This window comes from Homo sapiens, chromosome 1 (assembly GCF_000001405.40).
Source record: "Homo sapiens chromosome 1, GRCh38.p14 Primary Assembly".
Classification (NCBI taxonomy): domain Eukaryota; kingdom Metazoa; phylum Chordata; class Mammalia; order Primates; family Hominidae; genus Homo; species Homo sapiens.
Genome location: NC_000001.11, coordinates 202,960,140 through 202,980,018, shown reverse-complemented (window position 1 = coordinate 202,980,018; position 19,879 = coordinate 202,960,140). Strand labels below are relative to the sequence as shown.

The window sequence follows — 19,879 nt, the reverse complement described above, 5'->3', positions numbered from 1 at the left end:
ATGGGAGGCTTAGAGGACAGAGAAGGTGGGAAATTGTCTATGAGATTATGAGAGAGAATGGATTAGGGAAGCATTACAGACAACATTAAGGGCCTACTCAAGGCTCTTGATTATGAATTCAACATGACGCCAGTCAGCACGGTTGTGTGTTTCCTCCACCCATGGTGAGCTAAATAGGTGCAGGCTCAGAATAAATAGAGAAGATTGACCATTGGATTTAAACTGTGTTGTGGATTTTCCAATCTTATACAATGAATTGAGAAGCAAAGAAGTTAAAAATATATGCAAGGCAATGACTATAGGGATGCAACACTGAGTTAAATCTGTGTAAGCATGGGAGAAAAGATATCAGGGAGATACAGTGTGGTAAGAGATGGAAGCAGTTCAATGTCTGGGTCAGTACTCGGTGTCAGTTGTATCTTATCAAGACATGAGGAGCCCTGATGACCTCTCATGCTTGTCAGAAACCTTGTCCCAGTACCTGAGGAAATCTCCCCACTGAAAACAATCCAGCGACTACAGATATTACTAAAGGCAAAACAAAACCAAGAAAAATCTAACAAAGCATCCCCAACTTCCATAGGAACCTTGTTCAATGTCACGCATTTTCTAGAGTGACCATGTGGTAGGTAAATATCATTGGCCTTAAGAATGAGGATTTGAAGGCAAAGTGCATGAATAAAAAACATAGCTCTGCCTCTTGAGCAAGTTCTTTTGATCCCTCTGGGCATTTTTCTCATCTCTAATACAGGAATAAAAATAGCTCCTACTAATGAGGTTGTGAAAATTAAATGATTTAATTAATGAAACACACTTAAAACAGTAGCAGGCATGTACTAAGGGCTTGTTTATATTAGCTAATACCATCAGTATCATCATCATTTAAAGGGTTAACTCCTAATTCTTCACAAGAATACCATCTAGCCACTGCCTACGTCTGCCAGCTCATTGCTACTGGCCATCCTACACTCTACTCACTTCCTGGAATACCATTTTTCCCTTTATTCTTTGACAAATTACAAGGCTCAAAGAGGCATGGAGAACTTGGACTTGATTCAGACCACGTCCTTAGCAAAGACTGATCAAGGCACAGCACCACTCAAAATAAGGGGTAGTGGGCAGGAAAACGAAGATTAAAAAAACAATTAGAAAAAAGAAAGAAAGAAACAATCAATCTCAATAATTTCCAGGGCTCTTTCTGTGCCCATGGAAGGCACTAATTCTCTCCAGATATTGGCTCCTCACCCCAGCCTCTACCATGGCAAGAAAGCAGATGCTGAAAAACAGATGCTGAAACTTGGGCTGTTTTAAACAACAAAGAGTGGCAAAGAACAGAGCAAAAGCAAAAATAAAATGAGACCATAAAGAAGTGTTTGAGTTGGCTTCCCCACTTCCACTCTACCATCGCCCTACATATACCTTCTTCCAAGCCTCCCTGCATTCCATTGTTCCAGGGTCCTTTTTTCAACCGTGGTTCTCAATCAGGAGCAATTTCCCCCCCTGGGGACATTTGGCAATGTCTGGAGATATTTTTGGTTGTCACAGCTAGAAGATACTATTGACATCTAGTGCAATAGCTGGGGATGCTGCTGTGAACAGAGAATAAATCTCAGGACCCCAAAATCACTAAGCCAAAGGGAAAAGTCAAGCTGGGAACTGTGTCAGTCAGACAAACCTGCCTCCCTCCTTTTTTTTTTTTTTTTTTTTTTTTTTGACCGAGTTTTTCCTCTTGTTGCCCAGGCTGGAGTGCAGTGGCACAATCTCGGCTCACTGCAACCTCTGCCCCCCAGGTTCAAGCAATTCTCCTGTTTTAGCCTCCCAGGTAGCTGGGATTACGGGTCCCCACCACCAGGCCCAGCTAATTTTTGTATTTTCAGTAGAGACGGAGTTTCACCATGTTGGCCAGGCTGGTCTTGAACCCCTGACCCCAGGCAATCCACCCGCCTCAGCCTCCCTAAGTGCTGGGATTATAGGCAGGAGCCACCGTACCCAGCCCTGCCTCCCATTTTATTCCTAAATAAGATAGCTACAAAGATTTTTGTTTTTTGAAGCTACATACTTTCCTCACAATTTGCCTGCAAGGAAATTCCTTGTGGGCCTCAGGATCTTTACCCTAAAACAGTTCTGTTGAATTTCACCTTGGCAAAGTACATTGATAGCTTCTCTTCACAGGTGCGGGACAAAGAACTCAAACTCATCCTGCTCACCTGAGACAAATGCGCATCTGATGGCTCCCTCTGCCTTCTTGTTTATGTAAAAATGCAGATTCATTGAGCCAAATTAAGGCATAAGTGATCATTCCTCTACCCCCACCTCACATGTAAATTGCATATTCAGTGAAAAGCTGATTGAAGACTCAAAATAATGCAACCATTTGTCTCTTATCTACCTATGACTTGGAAGCCCCTGCTTCAAGTTGTCCTGCCTTTCCAGACCAAACCAAAGTACATCTTACATGTATTGATTGATGTCTCATGTCTCCCTAAAATGTATAAAACCAAGCTGTGTTCTGACCACCTTGGGACATGTAGTCGGGACCTCCTGAGGCTGTGTCACAGGTGCATCCCTAACCTTGGCAAAATAAACTTTCTAAGTTGATCGAGACCTGTCTTGGATACTTTTCGTTCATACTGCTAAGCAAACTATAATGGGCAGAACAGCCCTTGACAACAAAGAATTGACCAGCCCAAAATGTCAGTAGCACCAAGGTTGAGAAACCCTGCTCTTTGATAAATCAGCAACAGCTTTCGTGACAGGGTGAGACCACATTTAAACAATTGTACTACAAGCAGAGAGTGTTCAAATGATGCAAGGAGAGAATAGATTTTTCAAACAGCAGATAGGTCAAAAGAAATTATTTCTACCACAAAAGGCAAAACCACTAGTTTGACGAATAAGTCATGGTACATAAAACATGTCTGGAGAAATATCTATAAGGGACAGAATTCATGAATGTAAAGTCTTTACATTTAGATTTGTGTTTGGTCAATAATATAAGGTTTTACTTGGGATTTATAGTGTAAAAATAATCTGAATCCTTGAAAGGATTATACCTATATTTTATAAATCTATGAACTTCTCTCTCAGACTCCCTCCAACCAAGATTTTACCTCTACCACTCAACCAAACTTGTTCTTGTCACGATTTCTAATGACTTCCTGATTGCACAATTTGCAATTTGTCACCATATAAAGCCATGAGATTAGCAAGGACGGAGCCCTGGATCATTTCAACATTAAGAGGTAGAGCAGATGAAGGGGGACCAAGAAAAGAGAGTGGGAAAGGGTAGATACAGAGGTAGGAGGAAAACCATTGAGTGTACTGTGAAGACAGTGCTTCAAAAGCAGGTAATAATTAGCTGGATCAAAGGCTGCTGATCGGTCAGGTTCAATGAGGCATGATCATAGATCACTGGAGATTAAAAAAAAAAAATAGCAACAAAAGGATTATAATGAAAAACTGCCCCAGCTGGGCACGGTGGCTCATGCCTGTAATCCCAGCACTTTGGGAGGCCGAGGCAGGCGGATCACCTGAGGTTGGGGGTTAGAGACCAGCCTGACCAGCATGGAGAAACCCTATCTCTACTAAAAATACAAAATTAGCCAGGTGGCACATGCCTGTAATCCCAGCTACTCAGGAGGCTGAGGCAGGAGAATCGCTTGAACCTGGGAGGCGGAGGTTGCAGTGAGCCGACATCACGCCACTGCACTCCAGCCTGGGCGACAAGAGCGAAACTCTGTAGAAAGACAGAAAAGAAAGAAAGAAAGAAAGAAAAAAGGAAGGAAGGAAGGGAGAAAGGAAGAGAGAAAGAGAGAAAGGAAGGGAGGAAGGAAGGAAGGAAGGAGGGGGGGAGGGAAGGAAGGAAGGAAGGAAAGAGGAAAAGAGGGAAGGAGGGAAGGAGGGAAGGAAGGGAGGAAGGGGAGAGAAAGAGAAAAACAGCCCCACCTCCCTTGGCCCTAGTTCTGTTCCCTAAACATAACTATAAGGCTTTCTACTATTTCTTCTAGTGTTGCATCCATCTTTCTAAATAACATACTTAAACTGCCATTTTAAAATGTTTGTTTTATAGACAATTCCTTGTCATGTTAGGACATGTCCTTTTATCCAAGTCAACAAATATCCATTTATCTTTCTCCTATTCTTTCTTTTCTTTTCTTTTCTTTCTTTTTTTTTTTTTTTTTTTTTAAGACAGAGTTTTACTCTGTCACCCAGGCTGGAGGGCAGTGGCACAATCTCAGCTTACTGCAACCTCCACCTCCTGGGTTCAAGCGATTCTTGTGCCTCAGCCTCCCGAGTAGCTGGGATTACAGGCACCCACCACTATGCCTGGCTAATTTTTGTACTTTTAGTAGAGACGAGGTTTTACCATGTTGGCCAGGCTGGTCTCAAACTCCTGGCCTCAAGTGATCCACCTGCCTTGGCCTCCCAACGTGTTGGGATTACAGGTGTAAGCCACCTCACCCAGCCCCATTCTTTCAATATAGTTAAATCAATGATTACATTATGATGCTTTTGTAAAATATTCACTGCTGAACAAGTAGTTGTGGGACAATTCTCCAAAGAATTTGTACATCTCAGACTATCTTTTCCAGGATGTTTGGGCAGCAAACAGCCTTAGAAGCTAAAGGTAGTGTCTTCCTTTTGCAGAGGGCAGATTTGTTTATTAAGACAGTGACTCCCTCTGGGAGAAATTTAGAGGCATGGTCCTCCAGCCATATTAAGGAATACTAAGATCTCCCCACTTCTCCCTCCCCAGAGATTTCTTTGCTAACCAGAAAAATAAAGATAATGTCTCCCTGTGGGGCAAAGATTGGGTAGGCTTGCTAGTGGTCCCCTTATAAGACTGGGGGTTTCCTAAGCATAGCATTTCTCAGCTATGAGACAGATGCACTGTGCGCTCAGCATCCACCCAGGCCCACTCAACATTGCTACCGCTCACCAAGTTCCCTCTTGGAACTTTCAGGGAAAGGGGAACTGTTAAGCCCATGCTGCCTGCTGTGCCATGGGTGCTAAAGGACCCACTGTTTCCTTACCGACTGGATTTATGGAGATGTGGCAAGTCAGTCTAGAAGCTTCACTGTGTTTGGGAATTGTTTGACCTCTTGATTAAGCAGTAGTGATCTGTGATTATATTTTATGTGTAATATTTTTCCTAGAGCAAATAATTGCCTCTTTTATTATTTGCATTATCCTAGCCACTTGAGGTTCATCGGTAAACAGACCAAGTTTGTAACCCTCATGGAGCTTACATACTAAAGCGGGAGACAGACAATGAAGATAAACAAGTGTGAAGCAGAAGAATTGCAGGGTTTCGAGTGAAGGGTTTGGCATGATCTGGCTGAAGTTATAAAAGTAATACTCTGCCTACTATGTAGAGACTAGATTACAGAGGAACAAGGATGGAAACAGGGCCAATGAGGATGCTTCTGCAGGAATCCAGGCAAGAAAAGATGATGGTTTAGACCAGAGTGGTGGCAATGGAAGTGGTGAAAACAGCCAAATGTTGAATATATTTTGAAGACGAAACCAAAAGAATTTTCCGAAAATTGGTTGTAAGCATTGAGAAGAGGAGTAAGGATAACTGCAAAGTTTTTGTCCAAACTACTGGAAGGATGGAGTTGCCATCCACTGAAATGGGAAGGCTTCTTTGCATGTCATTTAAGGAAATTTGATAATTTTCTCATAAGAGTTCTGTACCTCCTTTGTTATTTTTATTTCCTGGGTACTTTGTATTTTCTGTTGATATTAAACTATCAATGTATATTTAATAATTATGGTGAAATGGACTTCATTCTATTTTAGCTTCATCTTATATCTAGCAATTTTCTTCAAGTTTCTTATTGTTTATAACTAAATGTTGTGCCAAAACTTAAGTATAAGTCTAACAAAACATCTACAGAATGTGTATGTTGAAAATTATTAGATACTAATGAAAGAAATTTTAAAAGACCTAAAGAAATGGAAACATTACATTCATGGATCTGAAAACTTAACATAATAAAGATCTCATTCTCTTCTATACTGATGTATAGATTTAACACAGTTCCAATTGAAATCCCAGCAGAATTCTTTTGGAATTGAGATTAGACAAGCTAATCTCAATCTATATAGAAAGGCAAAGAACCAGAATAGTTAAAACAATGTTGGAAAAGAAGAATAAAGTTGGAGTAATCACACTATCTAATTTCAAGACCTACTATAAAGCTACAGGAATCAAGACAGTATGGTATTCATGAAGGGACAGACACATAGTTCAATATAACAGAACACAGAAATCATAAATAGACCCACAAAAATATACCAACTGATTTTTGAGGAGAGTGCAAAAGCAGCTCAGTGGAGAAAGGATAGTCTTTTCTACAAAAGAAGCTGGAACAAAAGAACATCTGTATACAAAAATAAACAAACCATAACCTAAACCTTATACTTCATGCAAAATAAAATTTAAAATAGATCATGGATAGAAATGTAAACCACAAAGCTATACAACTTTTAGAAGAAAATATAGGATAAAATCTTTATAACTTGGGGTTAGGCAAAGTGTTCTCCGATGTGACACTTTAAATGTGCAGCATGCTGCATTTAAAGAATTGATAGATTGGACCAGCCTAGTCAACATAGTGAAACCCTGTCTCTACTAAAAATACAAAAATTAGCTGGGTATAGTGGCGCATGCCTGTAGTCCCAGCTACTCGGGAGGCTGAGGAAGGAGAATCACTTGAACCCGGGAGGCGGAGGTTGCAGTGAGCCAAGATCGTGCCACTGCACTCCAGCTTGGACAACAGAGAGAGACTTCATCTAAAAAAAAAAATTTGATAAATTGGACTTCAACAAAACTGAAAACCTTCTCAGTGCAAAAGACACTTTAAGACAATGGAAAGACAAGCTACAGGCTGAAATAAAATATTTGCAATATCCAACAAGGAGTTTTGTATTCAGAATATATAAAGAACTCTCAGCCGGGCGTGGTGGCTCATGTCTATAATCCTGGCACTTTGGGAGGCCGAAGCGGGCGGATCACTTCAGGTCAGGAGTTTGAGACTGGCCTGGCCAGCATGGTGAAACCCCATCTCTACTAAAAATACAAAAATTAGCTGGGCATGGTGGCGGGCACCTGTAATTCCAGCTAACTTGGGAGGCTGAGGCCGGAGAATCGCTTGAACCCTGGAGGCAGAGGTTGCAGCAAGCTGAGACTGTGCCATTGCACTCCAGCCTGGGCGACAAGAGCGAAACTCCATCTCAAGAGAAAAAAAAAAAAAGAGCCCTCACAACTCAAGTGGAAGAAAACAATCCAATTAAAACTGGGCAAAATACTTGAACAGACACTTCACCAAAGATGATATATAGATGGCAAATAAGAACATGTTTATTATCATCAACCATTACATAAATGCAAATTAAAATCATAATGAGGATAGCATGGTGGCTCATGTCTGTAATCCCAACACTCTAGGAGGCCAAGGCGGGAGGATCACTTGAGCCCAGGAGTTCAAGATCAGCCTGGGCAATAAAGTGAAAGCTCGTATTTACAAAACTTTTAAAAAAATTAGCCAGGAGTGGTGGCACTTGCTTGTGGTCTCAGCTACTCAGGGAGGTTCAGGTAGAAGAATCGCTGGAGCCTGGGAGGTTGAGGCTGCAGTGAGCCGTGATCATACCACTGCACTCCAGCTTGGTGACAGAGGAGACTCTATCTCAAAAAAACAAAAAAAAAAAAGTAAAATCACAATGAGATACCTCTTCATGCCTATTAGAATGGCCAAAATCAAAAGTGCTGACAATACCAATTGCTAATGAAAATGCCGCAGCAATTGGAATTCTCATCCATTGCTAGTGGGAAGGCAAAATGGTATAATCACCTTGAAAAACAGTTTGGCAGCTTTTTATATAAAGTTAAATATACACCTTCCATGTGATCCGGAAATCACACTTGTGGATATTTCAGAGAAATAAAAACTAGGTTCACATGGAAATCTGCACATGAATGTTTAAAGCAATTTCAATCATCACCAAAAATTGGAAATAACTCAAATGTCCTTCAGCTGATGAATGGATAAACAAATTATGATACAGCCATACAACAGAATACTACTAGCAATGAAAAGAATGGACTGTAAATACACATGATAACTTGGATGAATCTCAAACTATGCTGAGTGAAAGAAATCCACTCAAAAGCTTACATATTGTATAGACTTTATTTATGTGACATTCATAAAGAGGCAAAAGTGTATTGACAGGGAACACATCAGTGATAACCAGGAGTTAAAGGTAAGGGGAGGATGTGGCCATAAAGGGATAGCATATGGGAGATTTGCAGGGTGATCAAACTGGTCTATTTCCTGATTATAGTGGTGCCACAAATCTATACATATTCTAGAATTCACAGAACTGTATGCCCAAGAGTCTATTTTAATGTATGACAATTACAAATTTAAAATGAGACAGCTGGGGCCAGGCGCAGTGGCTCATGCCTGTAATTCCAGCACTTTGGGAGGCCGAGCCGGGTGGATCACAATGTCAGGAGTTCAAGAACAGTCTGGCCAAGATGGTGAAACCCCTTCTCTACTAAAAATACAAAAATTAGCCAGGCGCCATGGCGGGCGCTGTGGAAGTCGCCTATAATCCCAGCTACTCAGGAGGCTGAGGCAGGAGAATCTCTTGAACCCGGGAGGCAGAGGTTGCAGTGAGCCGAGATCGTGCCACTGCACTCCAGCCTGGGTGACAGAGTGAGACTCCATCTCAAAAAAAAAAAAAAAAAAAAAAGGCCGGGCACGGCGGCTCATCCCTGTAATCCCAGCACTTTGGGAGGCCGAGGAGGATGGATCACAAGGTCAGGAGATTGAGACTATCCTGGCTAACACAGTGAAACCCCGTCTCTACTAAAAATACAAAAAATTAGCCAGGCGTGGTGGCGGGCGCCTGTAGTCCCAGCTACTCGGGAGGCTGAGGCAGGAGAATGGCGTGAACCTGGGAGGTGGAGCTGGTAGTGAGCCAAGATCATGCCACTGCACTCCAGCCTAGGCGACAGAGTGAGACTCCATCTCAAAAAAAAAAAAAAAAAAAAGAGACAGGTGGAACTTTGAACACTGACTAGCTATCTGATGAAACTAAGTAATTGTTGTTAATTATTTTTACATGTGATAATGGTATTATGGTTATTTTTAAGTCCTTAGCTTTTAAAGATACACACTAAAATATTTAAGGACAAAGTTATAAAAAATATGGGATTTGCTTAAAAATAATACTGGAGGAAGGAACGGACTGGGGAAGAAATGAAAGAAAGGTGACCATGATTTAATAATTGTTGAAGAGGGTGATGGGTACGTCGGGCTTTATTATACTGTTCTGTCTACTTTTGTATATGTTTGATAGTTTCCATACTAAAAAGTTCAGCCAGGCACGGTGGCTTACGCCTGTAATCCCAGCACTTTGGGAGGCTGAGGCAGGCGGATCACGAAGTTAGGAGTTTGAGACCAGCCTGGCCAACATGGTGAAACCTCGTCTCTACTAAAAGTACAAAAATTAGCCGGGGATGGTGGCGCATGCCTGTAATCCCAGCTACTCAGGAGGCTGAGGCAGAAGAATCACTTGAACCTGGGAGGCAGAGGTTGCAGTGAGTCGAGATTGCGCCACTGCACTCCAGCCTGGGTGACAGAGCAAGACTCCGTCTCAAAAAAAAAAGAAAAGTTCAAAAAGGGTGTGAGGTTGTTAGTTTTCAACATCAAGCTGCCTGGTATGCAGTCTGAGTTTGCCATTTAGTAGGTGATCTTGGGCAAGTGACTTACTTGTCCTAAACTTCAGTTTCCCCCCACTCCATAAAATGAGACTACTAATGATAATATCTATCTCACAGTTGTTGTCAGGATTAAATGGATGTTGTCAGAATACGTGAAAAGCAATTTACCTAGTTCTTGCTATATTGCACATGCTCAATAAATGTTAATTTTTTTGTCATTATTACATCTCCTGGTCTGATTCCTCCATGCCATCTCCTCAGTATGAGCAAGTCTTCCTCCAAGCTTCTTTCTGGATATCTTATCTAAAAAGGGCCACTGAGTTTTACATCCTAATTCAGAATTATAAAACACAGGTTTGAAATTCTACTTCCCCCTCACACTACATTATATATATATATTTTTTTAAACAGGGTCTTGCTCTATTGCCCAGGCTGGAGTGCAGTGGCGCAATCATGGCTCACTGCAGCGTTGATCTCCCAGGCTCAAGCAATACCCCCACCTCAGCCTCCTTAGTATCTAGGACTACAGGCCAGCGCCATCGCACTTGGCTAATTTTTGTATTTTTGTAAAGACAGGATTTTGCCATGTTGCCCAGGCTGGTCTCAAACTCCTGGGCTCAAGTGATCCATCCAGCCTCCCAAAGTGATGGGATTACAGGCGTGAACCCAGCCTGTTCTATTCTTTATTGTATACCCAGGAGGAAATCCTAAACTTAAAAGATTGGGTTAAATAAAAATTCAGAAATGCCTATCTTTTCCTCCAAACTAGGAGTAATGTAAGATTACCATGAGTCGTGGTGGAGTGGAGTTCAATTCACCACAGAATCTGAGACAGGAAGACCTGCCAGGCCATCAGCCCCTTCCCACCACTCCTGCAGCATTCATTTTCAGGAGCAAAAGAGCCTTCCCACAATTACTGAGTCCAACACTTAGTTTCCAGGATAAGCCCACACCCAACCATTCTGTCCTGTGGTTCCCAGTGATACACTCACACTTGTTAGAATGTGCCACTTTGGGGTTCAGAAAATGCAATCACTGAGAGAAGCCCGAGTTGTAGTTATGCTCTCCTTTCGTTCCATACTTCCCCCTCTCTTGCCACATCTATCCACTAGAGGGAGGAAGGCCTAGAACCTCTTTAGCCAGAGTGGAGCAGTGGCAAGGATCAGTAGTGTGGCTTCTTAACCAAGCCAGCAGTGGGGATGTCAGAAGCACCGGAACATAATCGCCTCATTCTCTCGGAACAGAAAAGAGGAAGGGTCCCTTCCTTCCCCTTTTCAACCCTCTCTGCATGGATTGGCATGTCACCATGATCTGGTGCACTCACTTCCCTCAAGTCAGTGTGCAGGCTGCTTAAAAAATTCAGAGGAACATGTACTGGGGTCTTAGGAACATTTTCAGCCAGTGGAGAGGAAAAGGAAAACTAAGTATCTCTTGGATCATTCACAGAGTTCACCAAATACAACTGAAAACTGGGGGCTCTAATGTCCCTGCTGCCCTGATGGTATTAGTTTAAGATGTTGACACTGACATCTGCAGAGATCTCATCCATCACGGTATATCAAAGAGCAAATGTCATTCTAGTTGAGAAACTCATGTATGAGAAAGAATGGTCATCTTGGGAAATCTGTAGCTCCAGCGGCTCCTGATGTTTTTTCCTGCCTCCTCCTGTCCCATGCTTGTGCCCCAGGCAGAGCTCATTCCTAAAACCATAGCTGACCCTCTGTGCTGTCTTTTAAGTTATAATAGTAGCTGCCAACTGTTGAATATTTTGCTTTATGACAGGCACTACACTAAGCACGTTAACATATCTCACTGAAGCCTCACACCAAAGCTATGAACTAGATACAATCTATCTGTAGATAATAATATATATCCATCTGTAGATATCCATCTTATATCCATCTGTAGATGAAGAAACTCAGGTTGAGTAAGCTATCTAAGGTCACAGAGCCAATAAGTGCTAGAGGCAAGATTCTTATTCTGTACACTCTGCCTCCAAAGCCCACTTCTTTGACCCTAAGGGCACAAGAACCCAAATCAGGATGTGAAGCTTGGTCTTTGAAACCAAAGGAAGCTCCTGAATCATCCTGATAGGCTGACGGCTTGGCGCTGTAAACAAAATCAGTCTTTTGTCAAAAGGAAATGAAGTTGCCATGCCACTGTTCACTCCTGTAAGAGACTCCTCTGGGCTGTTCCATTCTCTTGCTGCAATTCAGCCGGTTGAAAAACTAAGGTGACTGCACAATGATTAACTTCAGGCCCTTCTGCTCTACTTTGAGCCTGTCTCTGGTTCATCGTTACACTCTCCGCTCAGCACCCGCAGACTCAAGAGATTTCCAATCCCCCAATTTAGCGTGGTTCTACCTTAGGCAGAACTCCCATCCAGTTCGGATATAAGCGGGTCGAAGTGGCAGGGACCACCTCGCTGGGAGGAGAGGCTGGAGCTGCGGTCTTAAAAGATCTTGGGGCCGGGCGCGATGGCTCACGCCTGTAATCCCAACACGTTGGGAGGCCGAAGCGGGTAGATTATTTGAGCCCTGGAGCTCGAGACCACCCTGACCAACACGGTGAAACCCAGTCTGTACTAAAAATACAAAAAAAAAATTAGCCGGGCGTGGTGGCGCACGCCAGTAGTCCCAGATACTCGGGAGGCGGAGCCAGGAGAACCACTTGAAACTGGGAGGCGGAGGTTGCAGTAACCGAGATCGCGCCACTGCACTCCAGCCTGGGCGACAGAGCGAGGCTCCGACTCAAAAAAAAAAAAAAAAGTATTGAATAAGCACCGGAGACCCTGAGCCACCGAGTAGCGGAGGGAAAGGGTGGCGCGCAGAGGGGCCCAGCCCCGCCTCTGCCGGACCCCGCCCCCAAAAGGCCCCGCCGCCGCCACCTCCTGCTAGGCCCCGCCCCCGACAGACACCCCCCCCCCCCCCCGCCAGGCCCCGCCTCCTGCCCCCCCAGCCGCGAGGTCCTGCCTCCTGCCCGGCCCCGCCCCCGGCCTGCCCCGCCCTCCGACCCGCCCCGCGGCGCATTGTGGGATCTGTCGGCTTGTCAGGTGGTGGAGGAAAAGGCGCTCCGTCATGGGGATCCAGACGGTAAGACCCTCATTCAGTATCCTCCACTGGGGGACCCCTCCCCATCTGGTTCTGGCCACTCAGCTCCGGACCAGGGGCTGTCGCTGCCGACCCCGCCCCGCAGGGCTCTGGGCCCACCGTGGATGCTGGGGTCCCGATCCCGCACATCCGGGCTCGGGACTCCGCCAGGTTACCCCTCTGCCCTTGGCATGCCTCCGCGCTGGAGCTCGGGATCGCCACCCCTGGGACGGTCACCACCCAAGCCCCGGGCTCTTACCCAGCCTGGCGGTCACGCTGCCTCCTCTACCCACAGAGCCCCGTCCTGCTGGCCTCCCTGGGGGTGGGGCTGGTCACTCTGCTCGGCCTGGCTGTGGGCTCCTACTTGGTTCGGAGGTCCCGCCGGCCTCAGGTCACTCTCCTGGACCCCAATGAAAAGTACCTGCTACGACTGCTAGACAAGACGGTAAGTTGGGGAAGAAAGGGCCAGGGTGAAGGAGGGGACCAGAGTGCTCCTGGCATGGAGGGTACAGCACCCACGGTGGTTGGGATGTCCAAGGGACGTGGCAGCGCCAGGCGCGCTTGGTGAAACACTTGTGTCCTCCACCCTCCAGACTGTGAGCCACAACACCAAGAGGTTCCGCTTTGCCCTGCCCACCGCCCACCACACTCTGGGGCTGCCTGTGGGTAAGGAAAGTGTGGAATGGGCTCCTTTCCCTGGTATCCTCAGAAGGTGACTCCCCTCCTGGGATCTCATGAAACACGCTGCTTCAACCGGTTTGCTCCACACACCATTCCCCTTCCCCCACTTGGCTCTGCATCCTCCAAGCTGTGAGGTGCCACTGGGCCCCTCTAGAGTGTGGCTTCCATGACCCCCATCCAGCTTTAACACTCAACAGTCTTGCCTCTTCCCTGCAGGATTTGCTAATTACTCCCTCTGAGCAAGCACTACTAACTTTTTCCCATTGCCCAGACCCTTTTGGCTCATCTGTCAAGGTCCTGGCAGTAACTGGCAGGAAACGCTGGAAATAAGTGTTTCCTCAACTGGGCGCTTATAAGAGATCCAACTGAGGGCTCAATGGGGCAAATCTTCCCTGCCTTGTAGCTCCTTGGGACCACAGCAGGAAGCAAGACATCTTGTTCTCTCAAATCTCTTTGAGTATTTTGAGGGATGCAGCACATCACAGACAACCCTTATGTAGCTCTCTGCACGGTCCCCAGGCAAACATATCTACCTCTCCACCCGAATTGATGGCAGCCTGGTCATCAGGCCATACACTCCTGTCACCAGTGATGAGGATCAAGGCTATGTGGATCTTGTCATCAAGGTAAGGGGCTAGGAAGGGACCCAGGGGCTGCTTACCCATTCTTTCTGGGATTTGTAGAAATTTCTAAGATTTGCCTGACAGCAGGAAATGGTATGTACTCTGTGGATGTGAAGAAAGTATGAGCTACTCAGGAGACTGAGGCAGGAGACTCACTTGAACCCAGGAGGCGGAGGTTGCAGTGAGCCAAGATTGCGCCACTGCACTCAAGCCTGGGCAGCAAGAGCAAAACTCTGACTCAAAAAAAAAAAAGAAAGAAAGAAAGTATGTAGACGGGGAAAAGATAGCACATATCTGATCCCTGCCCCAGCCTCAGGGAGGTTTAGTCAACATGGGGCTCAGAAACCAGTGACATTCCAAATAAGGTATTTTTCTCTCTGTCTTGTAAGGTCTACCTGAAGGGTGTGCACCCCAAATTTCCTGAGGGAGGGAAGATGTCTCAGTACCTGGATAGCCTGAAGGTTGGGGATGTGGTGGAGTTTCGGGGGCCAAGCGGGTTGCTCACTTACACTGGAAAAGGTAATGACCTGTCTTCTCCTTGAGCCTGTCTCCCACTTTATCAGTTCCCATAGTCCTCTTGGCACAGTATGGCTGTGTGTACACATGTGTATGCACGTAAGGGCCAGGGCCGCCCTTCCTTCTAAACATAGCGCTGATACAATAGAAAGGCATGTTTCTCAGCCCCATTTGCCACAGGAAGCAGTTCCTCCTCCACTTGAATTCCCTAGCCATGGCAGCTGTGGAGATTACTAAAGCAAACATGTGCCCCTCTTCCCCACCTTCAAAAATTTGCCCCCCTGGGTGAGCTGTGGAGTGAGCCAGAGATAGCTTTCAGCCCTTCCCATGGGAACAGCTGGGTGCATTAGCAAGTCCCTGGAGCTGCTGTGTGCCACTTGGGAAAATAGATTCACACCTGGCTCTGTGCCTGTCTCCTTCACCAGGGAGTGACACTTTGCCAGAAGCAGCTGATACATTGTGTGGCGCTGAACTGACTCACAGATAGCCCTGGCCCCATTGTCCCTCAACTATATTATTGTCAGGGCTGGCTCAACTCAAGCTTCCACCCAAGCTCCAGGATCAGATGTCATAGCAGCTGCTCAACTGGCCTCAGGCATATTTTCAACTCTGCATTTGTTTTCTAAGTTCGCTGTATTGACTTTATTCTTCCACTGCTCTCTTCACCTGACCTCTCAGGGCATTTTAACATTCAGCCCAACAAGAAATCTCCACCAGAACCCCGAGTGGCGAAGAAACTGGGAATGATTGCCGGCGGGACAGGTGCATTACACTGAGGGCCTTTCTCTCCCACCATTGTTGACTGTTGCCATGCAAATTCCTAGGTGACCCTCTGAAGACTGGTAACCATAGCCAAGCTGTTGTTCATCAGGGGATTTCCAGCAATGCTTAGAACTCCCTAGTATCTGAAAAACAAAATCATAAGCAGGTAGAAACCAAAAAAAATTTTAACTGATGGAATTAGAGAAACAAATTAAATGAGCTTTCCTCATTTTGAATGGATCTAATAGTTTTAGGTGAGAGAAGAGAGAAGCAGCTAGGAATGACTAGCTAGGAAGAAAGAAAATTAGCATTGGACACTACTGTGCATTAGACACTGTGTAGTCTAATACACTACTATATATTAGACACAAAAATTAGACACATATATAGGTATCTATGAAGTAGGTACTAGCCTTTTCCTTTTACAGAGAGACAATGGGGTTCCAGAGAGGCTAAATGATTTCCACAGGGTTATTTCACTGGTAATGGCCTGGAGCAAAATTAGTATTTGGCTCTGCCTAGTGCCTAAGTACATGCACTTAACCTCTGCAAATACAGTGTTCTAGAACCCTCATCATTGAATCCGGAGGTACTTGTAGTCATTTGTGACACTGGAGTCCTAGCCTCCAAAGGACTTTCAGAAGAGTCTTAGATTAGTTCCTAAGAAAGATTTCTACAATATGAACTTAGATGAATTTGAAGGGTGCCCGGAAATACAGATGTTGGAGAATATGCAGGAAGAGTTTAGAGGATGAGAATGCTAAAGGAAAATGGAGTGGAGTGGTGAATGAGCAGAATGAAGATGAAAGGGCTGGTCAGCTAAGGAGCCAGGACAGGGCAGAGAGTGTGGCCACTACATTTCACTGTGGGGTATCTTCATGCAGGAATCACCCCAATGCTACAGCTGATCCGGGCCATCCTGAAAGTCCCTGAAGATCCAACCCAGTGCTTTCTGCTTTTTGCCAACCAGGTTGGTTTGTTTTCCTCCACCCTAAGACTTCAAAGTTGCTGTGTGGGTAGGGCTGAGAGACGTGGTATGGATGGGCAGAACTGGCCCAGTGCCCTGTTTTAGCCTCTGCCCAAGGTCCCCTCTGTAAGGCACAGGGTCCTCTTTCAATAAGGAGGAAAAGGACAGAGCACTGAATCAAATTCCTTCCCTGGTCCCCAAGGAAAGAAGAAAACTTTTAAGGTATCTAGTCTGGAGCACAGAAACTTAGATCTTCTTGGTTAAATATTCATCTTTGTTCCTTCATAATGTGTAGATAAAGGCTGTTCCCCTCTTCTCCTCATCCTAACTCCCTAAAAGCACTGCAAGTCTTGCTTATTTCCTAGAACTTTTGCTTTCCCTTAACATTCTTTTTCTTAGTTGGAAAGTTGTATAGCAGAAAACTTTTTATGTGGGCCTGAGAAGACTCCTAAAGACTTTCCTTCCCCTTTGCATTTCAGACAGAAAAGGATATCATCTTGCGGGAGGACTTAGAGGAACTGCAGGCCCGCTATCCCAATCGCTTTAAGCTCTGGTTCACTCTGGATCATCCCCCAAAAGGTATCCTTCCCATTTCTGGACATCCCACTATCCCCTCATCGTCAAAATCAAAGCCTTGCCCCTTTGTGAATTCTGGCTTCATTGAAATCAACCTTGCCTCACACTGCCAACTCGGAAGTCTGAGTGCACAGACACAGTGATCTCCTGGTCCCTTTCCTTTGGGTTCCTGTTTACCAGGTGGGTGACAGGGATGGCGGTGCTGCTAAGGCTCAGCTTGAGGCAGGCTGAGTATACCCATTCCCAGCTGCTGCTACCACTTGACACTTTCTCCAGAGCCTTTCAGGGCCCTCCCCAGTCTCATGGCACCACACCCCCTTGCCAGCATGTATCTGGAGTATTAAGTACTTTCTTCTCCCCATACTTCAGATTGGGCCTACAGCAAGGGCTTTGTGACTGCCGACATGATCCGGGAACACCTGCCCGCTCCAGGGGATGATGTGCTGGTACTGCTTTGTGGGCCACCCCCAATGGTGCAGCTGGCCTGCCATCCCAACTTGGACAAACTGGGCTACTCACAAAAGATGCGATTCACCTACTGAGCATCCTCCAGCTTCCCTGGTGCTGTTCGCTGCAGTTGTTCCCCATCAGTACTCAAGCACTATAAGCCTTAGATTCCTTTCCTCAGAGTTTCAGGTTTTTTCAGTTACATCTAGAGCTGAAATCTGGATAGTACCTGCAGGAACAATATTCCTGTAGCCATGGAAGAGGGCCAAGGCTCAGTCACTCCTTGGATGGCCTCCTAAATCTCCCCGTGGCAACAGGTCCAGGAGAGGCCCATGGAGCAGTCTCTTCCATGGAGTAAGAAGGAAGGGAGCATGTACGCTTGGTCCAAGATTGGCTAGTTCCTTGATAGCATCTTACTCTCACCTTCTTTGTGTCTGTGATGAAAGGAACAGTCTGTGCAATGGGTTTTACTTAAACTTCACTGTTCAACCTATGAGCAAATCTGTATGTGTGAGTATAAGTTGAGCATAGCATACTTCCAGAGGTGGTCTTATGGAGATGGCAAGAAAGGAGGAAATGATTTCTTCAGATCTCAAAGGAGTCTGAAATATCATATTTCTGTGTGTGTCTCTCTCAGCCCCTGCCCAGGCTAGAGGGAAACAGCTACTGATAATCGAAAACTGCTGTTTGTGGCAGGAACCCCTGGCTGTGCAAATAAATGGGGCTGAGGCCCCTGTGTGATATTGAAAGGGTTGTTGTGTCTGGGGTCCTTGTTTCCAAATCCCCGAGGACCTAGGGAGGAAGGGTTTGCCACCATGCAACTCTCCCAGGTGTTCCAAAGAACCTTTGAGAAGTTGTACCATGTGCTGAAATGTGAGCTGCCAGCAGACTCAGTGATCATCTCAGCAGCTGTCTCAGCAGAGCCAGAGCTCCGCTTCTCCCTGGAGGCTCTCGAGGTGGGGGAAGGAGAACACACATTAGAGGGGACATTTTTGAGCCCAGCTGCCCCTCACAGTGTTCCCTTGATAGGCCACTCTTCCCCTTCTTCCTTCTCTTGGCCTATCCTTCACCATATTTATCCTTCAGGGAACCTGGCACACAAATCAAAGTGTTGTCTTTCTGTTTGGAAGGGAAGCCTTCTTCTTTAAAAAGTAACCTGACATCACCAGCCCTGGCCGGAATTGTTGATGCCCAGATAGAGTTGGCCTCCCCCAGGCTCATCTGTCCTGAGTACCCTTCTCCTCTGCTATGTAGCATGACCCAATCTACTCCCTTTCCCAGGGTAGGACTAGGGCAGCCTCTCCAGATTCTTCTTTGTTACTCCCATTGCAACAAAACAATGTGGTGGGCTCAGAATGAAGGTCGACATTGCTTTTCTGCTTTTCAGCAACTGTCTATTGCTGTTTCTGGGGCTTCTGAGAGAAAGATTTGTGGGACCCTCAGAATTCACTCCTCCCCAGGGCAGAACCTTCAGTAAATTCTGTTGGTGGTGTTCCATCCAACATTTCTTGATCAGCTAATATGTGTATGGCACTGGGCTCTGTAACACAGTCTCAGCCACCTCACCTCCAGGAAGGAAAATCTTGCTTAGGAACGTTGGGCTCAGATAGTGAAGCAGGCTTGTAAAGAGAATTTCCTGCGTGGAAGATCACCATTCCTTGTCTTGCATGGGTTTTTGTCTCATCCACTCAACATACAAATGTTTATTAAGGATCTGGCATGTGCCAAGCACTATGCGAGGCCCTGAGGATAAAAGTGTGACCAACACTGGTCTTAGACCCCCAAAGAACTCACAGTCTAAGACAGACAAATGACATTTTTTTTTTTTTTTTTGAGACGGAGGCTCGCTCCGTCACCCAGGCTGGAGTACAGTGGCGCAATCTCGGCTCACTGCAAGCTCCGCCTCCTGGGTTCACACCATTCTCCTGCCTCAGCCTCCCGAGTAGCTGGGACTACAGGCGCCCGCCACCACGCCCGGCTAACTTTTTGTATTTTTAGTAGAGATGGGGTTTCACCGTGTTAGCCAGGATGGTCTCGATCTCCTGACCTCGTGATCCGCCCGCCTCAGCCTCCCAAAGTGCTGGGATTACAGGCGTGAGCCACTGCGCCCGGCCAACAAGTGACAAATAATTATAACAGTGTGACTAATACCATAGCAGAGGTACATACAAAGTGCAGCTGGGAAGAGGTTGAGAAAGATTCAGAAAGGGAGGAAGGGGGGAAAGAGAGGTAACATTTTTGACAGCCTGGGCAACATAGTGAGACCCTATCTCTACAAAAATAAAAAATTAACTGGGCATGGTGGCACGAATCTGTAGCCCAGCTACTTGGGAGGCTGAGTTGAGAGGATCCCGTGAAGCCCAGGAGTTCGAGGCTGCAGTGAGCTATGATCTTATGATCACACCACTGTACTCCAGCCTAGGTGACAGATTGAGAGCCTGTCCCTAAAAATACAAACAAAAATGGTTTTGAGTTAACAGCC

The 19,879-nt window shown here is 45.7% G+C and overlaps 1 protein-coding gene across 1 annotated transcript, besides 3 other annotated features; it reads left to right on the top strand.

Moving 5' to 3' along the window:
- Positions 11,664-11,958: a silencer, noted in NCBI's record as "tiled region #11869; HepG2 Repressive non-DNase unmatched - State 1:Tss". NCBI's record gives its function as "represses a minimal TATA promoter and a strong SV40 promoter by Sharpr-MPRA in HepG2 cells {active_cell/tissue: HepG2}" and the evidence as "EXISTENCE:reporter gene assay evidence [ECO:0000049][PMID:27701403]".
- Positions 12,575-12,734: a silencer, noted in NCBI's record as "silent region_1713". NCBI's record gives its function as "represses an Ori minimal core promoter by ATAC-STARR-seq in GM12878 lymphoblastoid cells {active_cell/tissue: GM12878}" and the evidence as "EXISTENCE:reporter gene assay evidence [ECO:0000049][PMID:35858748]".
- CYB5R1 (cytochrome b5 reductase 1) lies at positions 12,762-18,146 on the top strand. The gene is made up of 9 exons (NM_016243.3): positions 12,762-12,828; positions 13,121-13,270; positions 13,419-13,491; positions 14,026-14,132; positions 14,519-14,648; positions 15,324-15,407; positions 16,292-16,377; positions 16,854-16,953; positions 17,320-18,146. Exons 1-9 carry the CDS (start codon positions 12,814-12,816, stop codon positions 17,490-17,492), a joined length of 918 nt encoding a protein of 305 aa, NP_057327.2. The 5' UTR covers positions 12,762-12,813; the 3' UTR covers positions 17,493-18,146.
- Positions 12,805-12,854: a silencer, noted in NCBI's record as "silent region_1712". NCBI's record gives its function as "represses an Ori minimal core promoter by ATAC-STARR-seq in GM12878 lymphoblastoid cells {active_cell/tissue: GM12878}" and the evidence as "EXISTENCE:reporter gene assay evidence [ECO:0000049][PMID:35858748]".